Consider the following 16,749-nt stretch of genomic DNA (forward strand, 5'->3'; position numbering starts at 1 on the left):
TACAAACATCAAACACTGAGCTTTGGGTAGTTGCTGCTGTTTTTTATTTGTTTTTCTGTTTGTTTTGTTTTTAATGTCAGGCACAGTGGTTCAAGCCTATAGTCCCTGGAGGCTGGAGGCTGAGGCAGGAGGATATTTGAAATCCCCGAGCCCAGGAATTCGAGGCTGCAGTGAGCTATGATCATACCACAGCACTCAAGCCTGAGCAATATAGTGAGACCCTGTCTCTAAAAAATTTAACTACCTGACAGAGGAGATACTGTGATCATGAAAGTGGTTTTCCTAGGGCAAGACTTATCCGTTGCACTCCAGATGTGCTGACTCATGCAATTTCCCCAAATGTGGGAAACTCGACTACATAATTTCTGGTGGTAGGGGACTGCGTTCATGTTCTCCCCTACTAAAAAATAAAAATTAAAAAATAAATAAATAAAAATTCCACTGAACTAAAAACAAACAAAAAAATCCAGAAGGCAAGAATTAGCACTTTGAGAATTGCAGACCTATTGTTCTGAGCTTGTTTCTCCAATGTGGTGTGGAGTGAATCCTTTTCTTTCAGTCAAGTCTCTATTGCTTTCCTATAACTTCGATGAAGGAGAACTCACACTTTTTAAAAGGAAGGCCCAGGAAAGCTATCCATCCAGGCTGTGTGTTGGTTCGTGAATGGTGCCAGGCCGGCAGTAGAGGAAGCTCTGGCCTGAAGGTTGGCTCAACCCCATTTTTCATTGGGCCAGCTTTGGGCAACCCACACCCACACCCACACCCACACGCTACATTGTTCTGTGTTCAAGAGCTTCCTTGAAGCCTCTCTTCTCTCTCTCCCTATTTTTTTTTCTTTTTTTTTCTTTTTTTTGAGATGGAGTCTCCGTCTGTCATCCAGGCTGGAGTGAAGTCACATGATCTCGGCTCACTGCAGCCTCCGCCTCCCAGGTTCAAGCAATTCTCATATCTCAGTCTCCAGAGTAGCTGACTACAGGCACGTGCCCCCACACCCAACTAATTTTTCTATTTTTTGTAAAGACGGGGTTTTGCCATGTTGGCTGGGCTGGTCTTGAACTCCTGTCCTCAAGTGATCTGCCTGCCTCAACCTCCCAAAGTGCTGAGATTACAGGCATAAGCCACTGTGCCCAGTCTCTTTTCTTTCTCTTTTGCAAATAATCTATCTCAGGGCCCTGTGGGCTCTGCATCTGTCTAGGCTGTGCTCCTCATAGCTGGCCTCCAGCCTCTCCACACAGCAGTCACAGGAAGCCTCCTAAATGCACATGTACTGATGGGGGCTTCTCCACCAAGGCCATCAGCTGCTCCCTGTGCTCTCCGGGAGGAAGCCCTTACTCCTTGACACAACATCAAAGCTCCCACCAAGGCCCCAGCTCTCCAGCCCCAGCTCCGTCTCTCCTTTCCTCCAATTCTGCATCCCGGCAAAAAGAATTACCTGCTGCGCCTCTAACAGTCCAAGACATCTGCAAATACATTTGCCTCTACCTGGAAAGGACTTCTTCCTTTTGCCCCTTCACCTTCCCAAACCCCTCTCTTCACATAACCCATTTTCCCTCCTTTCTCTAGACTTTGCTTAGATGCCACCTCCTCTAGCTGGCCTTGCCTGACCCCTGACACTTGGGTGAGATGCTACCCGTGGGCTCCCCAATCACAGCAGCCAGGGATGGGTTTGTAGTTTTACCTGTGTCTCACAGAGCTCCCAGTGTGGAACACAGGCTCGATAAATGCGTGAATGATATGTGGATGAGTATGCGGATGGACGTTTGCTAGGCACTCGGTTGGCCACTGAAATGGGGTTGTTCTAGATAGGTGCTGTGTAAGTGGGGGCCACCAACTGGTACTGCTTGTCCACTGGCTATTACCGATTTGCAACTAATTAAATACAGACATTGAGTGTGTTTCAAAACTTATAAAGCACTTTAACTGAGTGATTTTATGTCTGCTGAATCTAATAATAAAAAACACTGAGCTCGTATTTTGTATGCCTTGGTTTTATTTTTTTCCATTAAATTATGTCAATTGTATTTTACTGTATTGGTCTGCAATGGATTAGAAATCTCAAACATTGGCTGGGTGCAGTAGCTCATGCCTGTAATCCCATCACTTTGGGAGGCAGAGGCGGGCGGATCACTTAAGGTCAGGAGTTCGAGACCAGACTGGCCAACATGGCAAAAGCCCCTCTCTACTAAAAATACAAAAATTAGCTGGGAGTGGTGGCGGGCGCCTGTAACCCCAGCTACTTGGGAGGCTGAGGCATGAGAATCGCTTGAATCCAGGAGCTGGAGGTTGCAGTGAGCCAAGACTGTGCCACAGCACTCCAGCCTGAGCAACAGAGCAAGACTCTGTCTCAAACAACAAAAAAAGAAATCTCAAAAACTGACCTTTTATGCCCAGATAATTTGAGAAGCACTGTTCTACACTGTTCCTAGGGCAACAAGACAAATGTGTGTGGGGTCTCAGTGTGTGCGTATGTGTGTGTGTGGTGTTTGTGGAGTGGGTGACAACAGGAAAGGGAAGAATTTAGAAGGTAAACTTGGCTGAATCTGCATTCGCAGGGAAGCTTTTCCATATGAAAACGTCAAAAGACTTTCTCAGAATCAAATACGCCAGAATAAACAGCTTATAGAATGGTCTTCTGAACCTGATGTCCCCAAAGGGAGAATAAATTGCAGCTATTAAGATCATCCTATTCATTTAACTGACCGAGACAGCCCCATGCACGTGGTGGCCCATGCCATAAAAATGTGTCTCTCTCAAAAAACAAACAAACAAAACACCAAAATTTTGATAAATGATTATTTATCTTGAATGCAAAATAAATAAATAAAGCATCTTTCTCACTTACTTTGGAGACATGATTTTTAAATTTGTTTCCTAACTTTCCCCAATCTGGCTTCCATTAGAGAACTATTCCCAAATTAACCTCTGTGCCCTCTCAAGTAAAGAATGCAAGAGATTTCTACCAGCTATTTTCTCCCATTTCGAACATGCCACGTGTGTTTAACAGCAGGCAGAGATTTCCAGGCTAGAAGTGGTAGTAAAGGGATCTTTTAGCAACTGTTCTTTGAAAATCGGCACAGTTTTTTTTTTAATGACAGGCACCCCTTTTGCCCCAAAAGGTCTCTCACATTGCTATCCTGAGCCAAATGTTTAATTGATGCTAAGGAATTTTACATTCAGTCACCTTCCAAGTGCTGAGCAAATGAAGTGCCAATAGGCTATGTGATGGGGGACCAGGGTAAAGATTGAACTTTATCTGTGCTCGTGAGGAGAGATCAGATAAGTCACCAGTGGCTTCAGCAACAATGAGTTATCATTCGCCACACTTGTGAAGGAAAAGGTCAAAGCACACGGTGGTGAACATGCATTTGAGGCCCCAGAAACGGTTTTCTTAGCCACGGCCTCCGGAATCACACACACTGGGTTATTTCTTTGAAGGCAGAGCTAAACATATGTAGCGGAAAAGTTCAGGGTTCAAAGTGTAATTTCAAAAACAAAGAACCAAGTTTCCCACTTAAACATCTAGGTAAATGGACACAGGCCATGAGCTTAGAAGCAAAGGCACATCTTTTCTGCACAGACTGCCAAAATGCCGCTGAATCTTCCTCCCGAGAGCCATACCCTAGGTCCACACCCTTCTATACTCACTCTGGGCTTACTGTGAGGTTTGATTCGATTGATGGGAAAGCAGCAAATGTGGCCCAGGTAGAGATTTCTTTTTTTTTTTTGAGACAGGGTTTCACTGTGTCGCCCAGGCTGGAGTACAGAGGCACAGTCTCAGCTCACTAAAGCCTCAACCTCCCAGGCTCAAGTGATCCTCCCACCTCAGCCTCCCAATTAGCTGGGACTACAGGCATAGGCCACCATGACCAGCTAATTTTTCTATTTTTTGTAGAGATGGAGTTTCACCATGTTGCCTAGCCTGGTCTCCAACTCCTGGGCTCAAGTGATCTGCCCACATCAGCCTCCCAAAGTGCTGGGATTACAGGCATGAATCACTGTGCCCAGCCCCGCAAGTAGAGCTTTGAATAGTACTGTACCTTGGCACTTGCCCTTGTTTGCTGCTCGTTGGAACCCTGAGTCCACCATATGAACAAGCCTGAGTTAGCCACCTGGAGGATGAGAGGCTACCTGGAGCAGAGATGAGCCCTCCCAACTGAAGCCCTTCAGGACCAGTTAGCCTGCTTAATGCCGGATAGGTGAGTGAGGCCATGCTAGATCATACAGCCCCAGCCGAGCCACCAGCTGCCCATGGAGATCAGCCACATACCCCACACAAGAGGAACCACCCAACTGACCCATGGGATCATAAAAAATAATAACTGTCATTTTAAGCCTATGATAAGGTAGTTTGCTACACAGGAAAAGCCAACTGATATGCATTCATTCATTTATTCATTCATCCACTTATTTATTTAACAAATATGTGTTGAGAGCCTTCTGTTGGCTCACTGTGCTAGGCAGAAAGGCAACTGAAAGAGGCCATGAGCTCCTTAAAGCCAAGGATATAGCTTATTTGTCTCTGTTTTCCAGGCCTGGCACACTCCAGCATATATATAGGAGGTGCTCAAAAACTTTATCTAATAAACACATGAATTGGAATTAATCCCAAGGGGACAATTATAGATCTCAAGCTTTAAAAGTGCAGATTGCTTGACTCAGCAATTCCACTTCTGAGAATTTAATGTAAGGAAATATTACAAGAATGTCCTATCATAGCCTCGTTTACAGTGGCTTCATTGGATTTGGTTGAAAACACAATGGTGGCAATAGCAGTGTAGTCTCTGTGACAATTTGGTTGAAAAGAATATTGCAATCATGGGTGCAGGTAATTTCGATCCCCTGTGGAGTAGCTTTATGACCTTTTTGTTCCTTTAGACAAAAAAAAAAAAGTTAAGTATCTTTCAGAATTTGGGGGATTTCATTCTCCTCTACTTTTAAAATTTCTAATTCCCTTTCAGACAATTAAATATGCTCTGGTCTGCTAATAATAAGAAGAAACAAATTGTTTTATGTCTGTCAATAGGGAGTTGGTTAAAGGACAGCGCAAGCATACGATGGGTGTGCCTCATTTTAAGGGATATGGTAGAGACAGGATAGAGCTGTATGCCTCTGTTTACATCAAAAGGTGGTCATTATGTCCATCAGGGTTCTCCAGGGAAACAGAATTCAGAAAGAGAGAGAGAGATTTTAAGGAATTGGCTTACATGATTGGCGGAGTCTGCCAAGTCTGAAATTTGTAGGGTAGGCTGGCAGGCTAGAAACCCAGACAAGAGTTGATGTTATATCCCAGTCTGAAATCTGCAGGCTGTCAGGCTGGAAACTGAGGAAGATTTCCATGATCCTTCCTCTCCAAGAAACCTCAGTTTCGGCTCTAAGACCTTCACATGATTGGATGAAGCCCACCCACATTATCAAAGGTAATCTCCTTTATTTATAGTCAGCTGATTGTAGATGCGCATTACCTCTGTGAAATACCTTCATAGCAGCATCTAGATTGGTGTTTGACCAAACAACTGTGCACCATAACCTAGCCAAGGTAACGCATAAAATTTAACCATCGCTGTCATAAGTTGGAAAAAAAAATCAACTAAAAAATAGAATAATTTGGTTCTATTTTTAAAGAGGAAAATTATAACATATCTATAGAAAAGAAATTAGGAAAGGTCCGCACCAATATGTTAACAATGATTGTCTCTGGGAGGGTCTGATTGCTGGTCTCTCTCCTCTCTGCTGGTCTGGTTTTCCTGTTTTGCCTGAAAAGAGAAAGCCTAGCTATTGAAAGAAAACAAATAAAAGGAACAAAGAATTAAAGAACCTTGTCAATGCCCTTCAGCCAAAGACCACCCAGGAACACACCTGTTGTTGAACAAGTTGGTTTTGTTACTGGTAGAAACTAGAGAGCATGAATACCATGGGGAACTGTGGTAGTTTCCGTAGAGGGTGTTAGAAAGAATCTATTACAGGATTTGGGCTTTGGTTGAGTGATCTGGCGGAAGGCTTAAGGAAACAGGCTCACTCTAGATTCAGTGCTGTCAGAAAGCAACCACAATTCTAGAATTCAGTATCACAATAAGTCTTACGTATACGGAAGGCAAACTAAATCAAGGATAAAGCTGTAATTGACAAAGAAGCAACAGTCACTCGTGTTTGGTGAGAAAAAGAGATGTTTGGTATCTTATGGGTTACACAATGACCTTCTTTTCAGTTTACTTTATCCTGGTTGCAGAGTGACCTTGTCTGTGTTCTATGAGATTGTGTCTGTCCAACAGCAGAACACCATGGCCCTGCTGTATCACACTGGTTCCCAGGTGCCAGAGATTACCCTTTTTTTTTTTTTTCCCCCTCTACCTGAATAGGGATAATACTAGGAACTTTACTTGCACCGAAAAAAACAAAAAGTCTGGAGAGGCTTTATTTTCTGTAACTGATTCTTCCTCTGTTTTCTTAGCCATGTTTTCCTGAAAGTATTAATTTAGTAAATTGAACCAGGATTAGTTTTTCAATCACTAGTGCAAATATCATAAATTTTGAGCATTCTATCCAAGACATGAAATGGTGAACACTAGGATCGTTTCCATCTTTTAGGCGATAGTTGCTTCAGTTGCTTCTTTGTTAGTCTAATCCCAAACCAGAGCGTTTTTTTTGTTTTTTTAAAGACAGAGTCTCACTCTGTTGCCCAGGCTAGAATGCAGTGGCACAATGTTGGCTTACACAACCTCTGCTTCCCAGGTGATTCTCCTGCCTCAGCCTCCAAAGTAGTTGGGATTACAGGCGCTGACACCATGCCTGGCTAATTTTTGTATTTTTAGTAGAGACGAGATTTTGCCATGTTGGCCAGGCTGAGTTCGCTGTTGCCTTCATCCAAGCTTAAGTCTTCACACTTTTAGTAAGACTTTACCTACACGACAATACATAATGACCCACCAAACACACGCCTACCACATAGTTAAGCCCAGCCCTTGGCCATTAACAGGAGCTCTCTCAGCCCTCCTAATAACATCTGGCCTAGCTATATGATTTCACTTTAAATCCACTACCCTACTAACACTGGGCCTACTAACCAGCACACTGACCACAGACCAGGCTGGTCTCGAACTCCTAGCCTCAAGTGATCCGCCCACCTCAGCTTCCCAAAGTGCTGGGATTACAGGTGTGAGCCACTGCACCCAGCCACCAGGGCATAATTGACTGGAAATAGGGAGGTGTTGAAAAGAAGAAAACAAAACTTTAGATTTTTTTTTAAATGATTATTTTGCTGAAAGATGCTTAAAGAGTTGGAATATCATTCCAGGCAAAATTTCCCCTTGGCAAACAAAAATTTCCTTTTTGTATAAACATAGTGACTGAGAATTTTCATTATCAACGAATTCAGCATTCCAACCATACTGACAGCTTAATCAATTTGCTTCCAGCCAAATTGCTCTTGACCAAATTGTCTGCTATGATATATAACAGTAAAACATTGGAAATAACCTAAACATCCAACAAGAAGGTTACTGAAGAAAGCCAAATAAACCATGGTTCATCAATACAATAAATGTCATGCATTCACTTAAAGCAACATACATATACATTTCTTTTGAAAGGAGTAAATGAATGCTTCTAAACATTTAGGGAAAGAGTCACATTTACAAATAAGCCCAATTTAGGTTTGGTTGTTGTTTTGTTTTTTGTTTTTTTGAGACAGGATCTCATTCTGTCACCCAGGCTGGAGTGATCACAGATCACTGCAGCCTTGAACTCCTAGGCTCAAGCAATCCTCCCACCTCAGCCTCCCGAGTAGCTGGGACCACAGGTGCACACCACCAAGCTCAGCTAATTTTTAAATTTTTTGTAAAGACAAGGTCACACCAGGTTTCCCATACTGCTCTCAAACTCCTGGGCTCAAGCAGTCCTCCTCCCTTGGCCTCTCAAAGCACGGGATTACAGATGTGAGCCACCACACTGGCCCCAATTTAATTGTGACCATACGGCAAATTCTAGGAATTTGACCAATAGAGACAGTTCCTCTTTTCTCTTAAATATGACCCACCTTTCACTGTTTGTTCACCAAACCTAATATTTCCTAACTATTCTTTGCTTGGTTTTTTGGAATACAGGAATCAAGTAGAAAGCAAATCTACTCAGTTCTAAACTGGCAGGGGTGGCTGGGTGTGGTGGCTCATGCTTGTAATCCCAGCATTTTGGGAGACCAAAGTGGGAGCATTGCTTGAGCCTGAGAGTTTGAGACCAGCCTGGGCAACACAGCAAGATCCTGTCTTCATTTTTAAAATAAAAAAATAAAATTGCAGGGGTGATTCCAACAATATAGCACCTGGTCCAATGTCCAGGAAGTAGAGGCTGAAATGTCAGCTCATGTCATGTCAACCCAGGAACAGAGCACTTTCTCTGTGAGAAAGATTTTACTCTTTAACTAAGCCATGGTGCCTTCCTTCTCCTGGACTTTGCTTAAAAAAATTTTTTTTGAACAGCTTTATTGAGGTATAATTAACATATAGTAAACTGCACATATTTAAGGCATGCAATACAATGAGTTTTGATTTATTCATACATCGGTGTGATTATAACCACAATCAAGGTAATGAACATAGCCATTCCCCCCAAAAGTTTCCTTGTGTGTCTTCTAATCCTTCCGATATGGTTTGGCTGTGCCCCCACCCAAATCTCATCTTGAATTATAGCTTCCACAATTCCCATGTGTTGTGGGAGGGACCACGCGGGAGATAACTGAATCATGGGGGCAGCTTCCCCCATATTGTCGTGGTAGTGAATGAGTCTCATGAGATCTGATGGTTTTATAAGGGGAAACCCCTTTTGCTTTGCTCTCATTTCTTCTGCCTGCTGCCATGTAACATGTGCCTTTCACCTTCCACCATGATTGTCAGGCCTCCCCAGCCATGTGGAACTGTGAGTCCATTAAATCTCTTTTTTCTTATAAATTACCCAGTCTTGAATATGTCTCTATCAGCAGTGTGAGAACAGACTAATATACCTTCCTTTCCACCTCTTCCCAATCTCCCCTTTGAGCAACCATTGCTTTCTGTCACTATAGATTAGGTTCCATTTTCTAGAGTTTTGTATTGTTGTCAGCATCGGTAACTTATTCCTTTTGACTGCTGAGTAGCAGGACACTGTATGGATGCACAACGTTTTGTTTACGCATTTAGCGACTGAAGGGCACTCGGATTGTTTTCAGTTTGGGGCAATCACACATAAAGCTGCTATAGACATTCGAACATTCTTGTGCAGGTCTTTGCATGGACATCAACTTTCCTTTCTCTTGGGTAAATATCTAAGAGTATAATGGCTGGATCAAATGGTAAGTTTAACTTTTTAAGAAACTGCCAAACTGCCTTCCAAAGTGCTTGCACCATTTAATGTTCCCATCAGCAGTGAGTGGGCATCTGGACTTTGTTTTCAACCCAGAGAGAAGCCTGGGTCTGAGGACCCCAGAAACTGGGTTCTTCTGAGGAGGGCCACACTTTACATAGGCATCTTTAGGAGAGGGCCCTGGAAGAGGTGGGGGACACAGCACTAGGGTGGGAATCAGCCACAGTCCACCAGGAAATTGGGGAGGCCAGTTTTGTCTGAGAGCTGGTGGGCTCTGAATATATTCCACGCTTTCTTTGTCCCAGCCTGGGGAGTGGGGGTGGAAGTAGAGGAGGAAAAGAATTTCAATGAGCTGCTTTTGACTTGATGTCATTTTGTTGGTTTCAATAACTATTTGTTGAAATAATCTGTGCCAAAGGAGGCCAAAAGGGAAGAGGCATAGGACTGGGGTTCAAAGAGCAGACCCTGAAGAGTCCTTGGAGGACGAGGGAGAGTGCGAGAGGCTTAGCAGGGTGGACAGTGATTCTCATTTTACAAAAATGCCCAGTATCGAGATTGCTGCAGTGTTTTCAGTGCTGGGGAAATGACATCCCTAAGGCTTGCATTCTAGATCCTCAAAAAACAAATTGCCCTTTTAAAGTCTCACGGTTAAAGAGATATTTGGTGTCTCTTGAACATGTGGTCGGAGGGTTTTCTGATGGGAATCCTTGGTTGTTTTTAACAAAATAAGCCAGATCCAGAGGCTGCGTGACAGGACCCGGGCACCTCTCAGGCTGTCTTCTCACAGTTTGTCTTCTTTCCTAGCCTAATTTCTAGACTCTCTGCACCTGTGGTCTTTGTTTCACTCCAGCATCACCTTTTCAGCCTCTGCCATTAATTGGACTCATTGAATGCACTGGGCTCATGCCGGCTTCCTAGTTGCTGAATCCAGAGGCCTTTTCTCAGATCTTGTTCTCCTGCTCTCATGGCACCATTTTGATATGGAAGATGGGCAGAGAAGTGCTGGGAAGGGAAGGGCATGGTGCCTGGCTACGGCTCCACCCCCGAGCCTATGGACCTAGGTGAAGACAGGCACTCCTGCCTTCATGCACAAATGTTGCATTTCCCAAGGCCACCCTGGTCGGCCACACCCTGATCCTGTGCTGTAAATAAACCGGAGACCTTAGTGGGTATGCACACAAGAAGTAGCTGAGCCATTGAGCAGAACACACCAGCCGAAGAACACACAAGCAGCTGGACGTCAGGAGCACACTGGCAGGCACCTGCAGGCTGGCAGGCCATCGACCAGCACAACAACATGGAGTTTGGCTGGGGCAGTTGGAGGGGAGCCCCACTGCTGAGCGGCCTGACTCTAGGGGAAAACCACCTTTCCATTCCATCTCCCTTCAGCTCCCCCATCTGCTGAGAGCTACTTCCACTCAATAAAACCTTGCATTCATTCTCCAAGCCCACATGTGATCCGATTCTTCCAGTACACCAAAGCAAGAAACCCTGGGATACAGAAAGCCCTCTGTCCTTGTGATAAGGCAGGGAGTCTAATAGAGCTGACTAACACAAGCCACCTACAAATGGCAAAACTAAAAGAGCACCCCATAACACATGCCCACTGGGGCTTCAGGAGCTATAAGTATTCACCCCTAGATGCTGCCTTGGGATGGGAGCCCCACAGCCTGCCCATCTGCCTGCTCCCCCTAGAGGTTTGAGCAGCGGGGCACTGAAGAAGCGAGCCACACACACCCTGTGAAGGGGACAAGGGAACTTTTCCCATTTCAATATGGTCTTCTCACTCACCTCCTCCCTCTAGACAGCTCTCCTGCCTAGGTCTCCATGGCGCTGTTCTACCTAGCTCTCCTGCTGCAGGTTGACTCCCCTGGTAAGCTGTCTCTAAGATGGAGATGATCAGGGAGTGCTCTCAGCATCACTCCGTGGAGGGAGCAGAGGGAAGCAGGACTGGGAGGGAGAAGCTGAATTGTGAAATAGTCTCAGCAAAGGCCTCAGCCAGCTCCACAGGGACAGGCATTCGGGGCACTGAGTTGGAGCAAAAGAATCAGGTCTTTACACACCCGGTTGATCAGTCGCTGGGGGTGGGCTCCCTGGAAGTAGGCAAGGCTTTGGGCAAGGTGGTGTTATTTAGCCACGGGCCATTCATTCCAACAGTGTTGCCAGCAGCTGGGGGAATCAGTCCCTCCCCAAAAGGGGATCTAGGCAGCACACTACAGTGTCCACAACACCTTCCTTCTCTCCAGCCGCTCCTTCCCTGGTGTAGGTGACCACTTTCCTCTGGTCTCAGGCTATGGCCTTCTGCTCTTCTCTATTTACAATCTCTTTTGTAAAACACTAATAAAGTATTTTATTTACACTTCATACAAGAACAGTAACTAGCATTTATTGGGTGCATCCTATGAGTAGATGCCAGGCACTGTGCTAGGCACTGCCGATATATTATCTCATTCAAGTTCCCAGAAACCCACTGGCATTAGGGGATATCAAAACTCTTTATCACAGCCAAGGAAAGTGCCAGAAGAGTCTTCTTAAAAAAACAAAGCAAAATCCTTTTTCTACCATGTCATCTCCCTCCTAGCTCAAGGCCCTTTGATGGCTCCCAATTACTGTTGGAATAAAAGCCCAGACTCCTAACTCAGCACCCAAAGCCCTCCGAAACCTGTCCTGAGCCTCCCTTTTTACAATTCTTCCTTTTTCCATTCCTGCCAAACCAAGCCCTTCACTAGGACTTTCAGCTGGCCTGCTCCAACCTGCTCCGAGACTAGCTCGGCTTAGCTCTTAACTATGCCTGTCCCTTCCTTTGACAGTCATTCATTCACGTATCTGTTTCCTCATCTATTGTAGACCTAACATATACTAGGCTGTGTGTTGGGCATTGGGGATACAATGCTGAACAGACACAGCCTGTCCTCCGCTTCAGAATCTTAAAATTGTGCAAGAAAGACGAATGTTATTCAAACTTGCCAAATTTTCAGTTATTTATTTATTAATTATTATTATTATTTTTTGAGACAGAGTCTTGCTCTGTCACCCAGGCTGGAGTGCAGTGGAGCAATCTCAGCTCACTGCAACCTCTGCCTCCTGCGTTCAAGCAATCCCCTGCCTCAGCCTCCCAAGTAGCTGGGATTACAGGTGCCCACCACCACGCCCAGCTAATTTTTGTATTTTTAGTAGATATGGGGTTTCACCATGTTGGCCAGGCTGGTCTCAAACTCCTGACCTCAGGTGATCCACCCTCCTTGGCCTCCCAAAGAGCTGGGATTACAGGTGTGAGCCACCATGCCCAGCCTCAAATAGTTATTGAATTCCAGCTTTGACTCAATGCTAAGAGGGGAGCATCAAGGGGTGTTGAAAGCTTAAAAGGGAGCGCTGAGGACCCTTGGTGAGCCAGGTGCTCTTCCAGTGCCCGTGGATGTGGCTGTGTAACTCAGTCGCTTCCCTGCTTTCTTCGTGGGGCCTAACGTAAGTGTTTCTCCTTTTCAGCTCTCCCCTTTCTCCTCTTAATATCTACATTGCCTGTTGCCTCAACTACTCAATCCTGTGCAGCTTTGCTTTCTCAATGTAAAGCGCTGTCGTCTCTCAGGTACATTTTGAGTCTTATGAATGATAGTTATCACTGATTTGAGGACATATCCTGTGCCAAGCAGTCTCTATGCTCTCACACTGTTCAGCAATTGCAATATCCTCACAACCATCCTTCTTCTTCTTCTCATGATCCCATTGTCTTAGTCCCGGAGGAAGTAACCCTGAGACAGGGACTCAGAGCACCTGGTTTACTTGGCAGTTTAAAGAAACATGGGCAGGTCAGTGGGGAGGTCATGGAAGGGAGGGTGTATTATCAGTCAAGTTCACCCTGGGGGAAAACCAGAGCCAAATCCCGCTGGGGAAATTCTGAGAAGTGGCATAGAATGCGTCTCAGAATCACCGTACCCAGGGGGTGAAGGAGTTGGGGTGCTTATTCACCAATTCCCACCAGACGCTGGTTGAGGGCTGTGTGTAGGTGGGAATGGCACTAATTCCTGGGCACTGCTGGCACCTGCAAGGGCAGGCAAAGTGGGCATCGGCAGCCTGAGAAAGCCCCCAGGGGAAGAAATGGAGGTGCCAGAGTACACTGAAGTGGTGAGGACGGAGGGCCTACTACGCCCATATTACAGATAAGTAAACAGAGGCTTCGAGGAGTCAGTCCAAGGTCACATGGCTAGGAACTATCAGAGCCAGGATGAACTGAAGTCTTTCTGGCTCTAAAACAACATAAAATGCCCCTTGAGAGGCATTATCTTATCTTAACCTCCAGTAACCCTTACAGCTCTTTGCACAGGGCTAAGAACCCAGTAAAGAATCCAAAACTGCTTCCTGATTGAGGAGCCTGAACGATGAGGAGCTTCTTAGACCCACAGAATAACAAGGCTTTTTTTCTTTGTTTGTGTTTTTGAGACTGAGTCTCACTCTATTGCCCAGGCTGGAGTGCAGTGGCGTGATCTCGGCTCACTGCAACTTTGGCCTCCTGGGTACAAGCGATTCTCTTGCCTCAGCCTCCTGAGTAGCTGGGACTACAGGTGAACACCACCACGCCTGGCTAATTTTTTTATTTTTAGTAGAGACAGGGTTTCACCATGTTGGCCAGACTTGCCTCAAACTCCTGACCTCAGATGATCCGCCTGCCTCGGCTTCCCAAAGTGCTGGGATTACAGGCGTGAGCCACCATGCCAAGCCAATAACAAGCTTTTAAATGTGCCTCCCTTCTCCATGATAGCAGGTGCGATCACCTAGTTTCTGAATACATTCATGAGTGTCTCGACCCCTTTTTACCTTATCACCTCTTGGACTTGTTTGAAAAGAGGAAAACAGGCCCACAGTCAACGACGGCTTCCTGTCATGAAGCTGAGGCCAGAACTGGAGTTGCTACTCTTGGTCTTCAGCAAAAATTCAAATGCCCATGCAATCCTTTTTTTCCCCTCCATGAAATTCCCCTAACTCGGTTAAAGAAAAAAAGTCAGTCAATTTACATGGTAACAGAAAAGGACAGGGCCTGGTATAAAATATTCCCCCATCTGCACCGGAGGGCACGGCCTACACGCTTCAAGAGCACAGCGGAGGCCCCGGGGATTTGTTTTTCTTTCCCTGACCCGGGGACTCTGATCTCTCACTTAACCTCTGACCTCTTCAATTCAGATAACAGGGAACTGGCAGCTGGGTTGGGGGCAGCTCTGAATGCCACTGGACTCCGCCTGGGTTCATTCTGGCCATGGAGACAGAACAAAGGGAGGTGGCCCTTCCCCGTGAAGCACCCCAGGGCGGCAGGCAGTCCTGTGGGGGCCCCTGCTCAGGTGCCCACCCCGGGGAGCATAGAGGGTTACCTCATTACAGCTAATGCCATTTAGAGCCTACTTTGTGCGGACAGGAAAAAAAATTAAAGCAACATCAATACCTTGATTTGACTCCATTTAAAAACTTCAGACTGAAATAGGCCTCAGCAAAGATCCATGCCCCTCCCTGCAGAGAGGCCTTTTTCCTCCCTACCTTAGGCCTCATTTAAAACAGGGCTATAGTCTGCATTTTAACAGCAGCTATTTAGAGGTGGGTATGAGCCACTTGTTTGAAATTGAATCAGCCATTTTTATTAAGCCATATATTTTCATTCTTGCCGGTGACGCTGGGAGACGATTTTCCAGCCTCTCTGTTTTGCTTTCCAGTGTATTTTCATTGGGAGGAGAGCTGCAAATCCAGGCCCTGCAACCTCCAATTACCCTGCTCCAACCCCATGCTGCTGGGTTGGACCCAACTCTTCACAGCAACCTCAGAAACAATGAATTTTAACCCCCGCACCCGCAACACCAAAACAAATTCCTTCCTAAATAAGGAGCCCGTTGGCTCCTTCCTAGCTGAATTCCCAGCCCCCATCTCCCAACTCCAGTTTCCAGTTTTGTGGCTGCCGCTGCTCCTGCTTGCTGGTGACTTGGCAGCTCAGCAGTGACCACCCACGGTCGTGCCCCAGGGCTGGATGACTACTTAATCTCTGCTAGGAGTTTGGCAAGAGGCTATTCACTGCCTTTAGACAATTAGACATCTCGAGGGACAGACATTTTTTTGGAGCCTCTAGTTCCCAGCTGCATGTGGGTGGGCCTTTTATTCATTCATTCATTCATTCACTGATACATTCATTCACTCACTTATTTATTCTTTCGTTTATTCATTGATTGCTTTGGAACAGCACCTGACACAGAAGGATGACAGCATGTCAGTAGCTGTCATTCATATCCACAGCCAACATTTATCAGGGACCTCCTACTATGTACCAGGAACTGAAGATGAAATAAATAAAACCCAGCCTCTGCCTTCGTGAGATCATACTATCAGAATGTGGTTTTGCACATTGGGATCACTCGGGGAGCTTTTAAGAAAAGCCTATACTAGGCCCCACCCGCAGAGATTCCGATGTGATTAGTCCATGGTGGGGCCAAGGTATCTGCATTTTGTAAAGGCTTCCACATGTTTCTAACGTGCAACCAGGGCTGAAAGCCACGGCTCAAGAAGGAAGGGCAGATAAGGAGACAGCTCTGCCCCAGGGTGAGGAGGGCAAGAGTAAAGTTCTGTGGATGCAAGGAGAGATGGACTCTAACCCTGCCTGAGGTCAGGAAGGCTTTCTAGAGGAAGGAGGCCTGAAGACAGAAGTCAGCATGGGATGGGCCAAGGTACTGGGAAAGGAGAAAGGGGGAGAAGATTCCAGGAGATGGGAACAGCACAGCAATGGCCTGGGTTGAAGGCAAGCATTGCACGTAGGACAATTTCCGATGATTGCATATGGCTGGAGTTGTGTGTGAGAGAAGGGAGCAGGGGATGGAGGAGACAGCTGGCCGAGCAACCCTGCTAAGGGACTAACAGGGTGTTTTGTCATCCATGTAAGGGGTTCAAACACTGCCTAAAAGCAATAGGGAGCAGAGGAGGGAAATGATTAATTTTGCATTTTATTTTATTATTTTTAAATTAATTTACTTATGTATTTTTGAGACGGAGACTCGCTCTGTCACCCAGGCTGGAGTGCAGTGGTATGATCTCGGCTCACTGCAACTTCCGCCTCCTGGGTTCAAGCGATTCTTGTGCCTCAGCCTCTCGAGTAGTTGGGATGACAGGTGCATGCCACCACACCCAGCTAATTTTTTTTGTATTTTTAGTAGAGACGGGGTCTCCCTAGGTTGCCCAGGTTGGTCTCAAACTCCTGGCTCAAGTGATGCACCCGCCTCAGCCTCCCAAAGTGCTGGAATTACAGGCATGAGCCACCACGCCCAGCCAATTTTGCATTTTAGAAAACTCCTGGCCGGGCGCAATGGCTCACGCCTGTAATCCCAGCACTCTGGGAGGCCGAGGCAGGCAGATCACGAGGTCAGGAGATCAGGACCATGCTGGCTAACATGGTGA

At 45.9% G+C, this 16,749-nt stretch overlaps 1 long non-coding RNA gene and 2 pseudogenes across 1 annotated transcript in view, besides 1 other annotated feature; 2 read left to right on the forward strand and 1 right to left on the reverse strand.

The window, feature by feature from the left end:
• RNU1-62P (RNA, U1 small nuclear 62, pseudogene) lies at positions 237-400 on the forward strand (annotated as a pseudogene).
• Positions 5,676-16,749, reverse strand: part of LOC105377161 (uncharacterized) — a 134,312-nt gene continuing 123,238 nt past the window's right edge. The window contains exon 11 of the long non-coding RNA XR_940962.3: positions 5,676-5,753. This is a non-coding gene — a long non-coding RNA (uncharacterized LOC105377161). The remainder of the gene's footprint in view (positions 5,754-16,749) is intronic.
• Positions 6,916-7,081, forward strand: MTCO3P47 (MT-CO3 pseudogene 47; annotated as a pseudogene).
• Positions 14,106-14,933: an enhancer, noted in NCBI's record as "NANOG-H3K27ac-H3K4me1 hESC enhancer chr3:72639711-72640538 (GRCh37/hg19 assembly coordinates)". NCBI's record gives its function as "activates a minimal SCP1, AML or CMV promoter by ChIP-STARR-seq in primed H9 embryonic stem cells {active_cell/tissue: H9 hESC(primed)}" and the evidence as "EXISTENCE:reporter gene assay evidence [ECO:0000049][PMID:30033119]".

Source organism: Homo sapiens, chromosome 3, assembly GCF_000001405.40.
Source record: "Homo sapiens chromosome 3, GRCh38.p14 Primary Assembly".
Taxonomy (NCBI): Eukaryota; Metazoa; Chordata; class Mammalia; order Primates; family Hominidae; genus Homo; species Homo sapiens.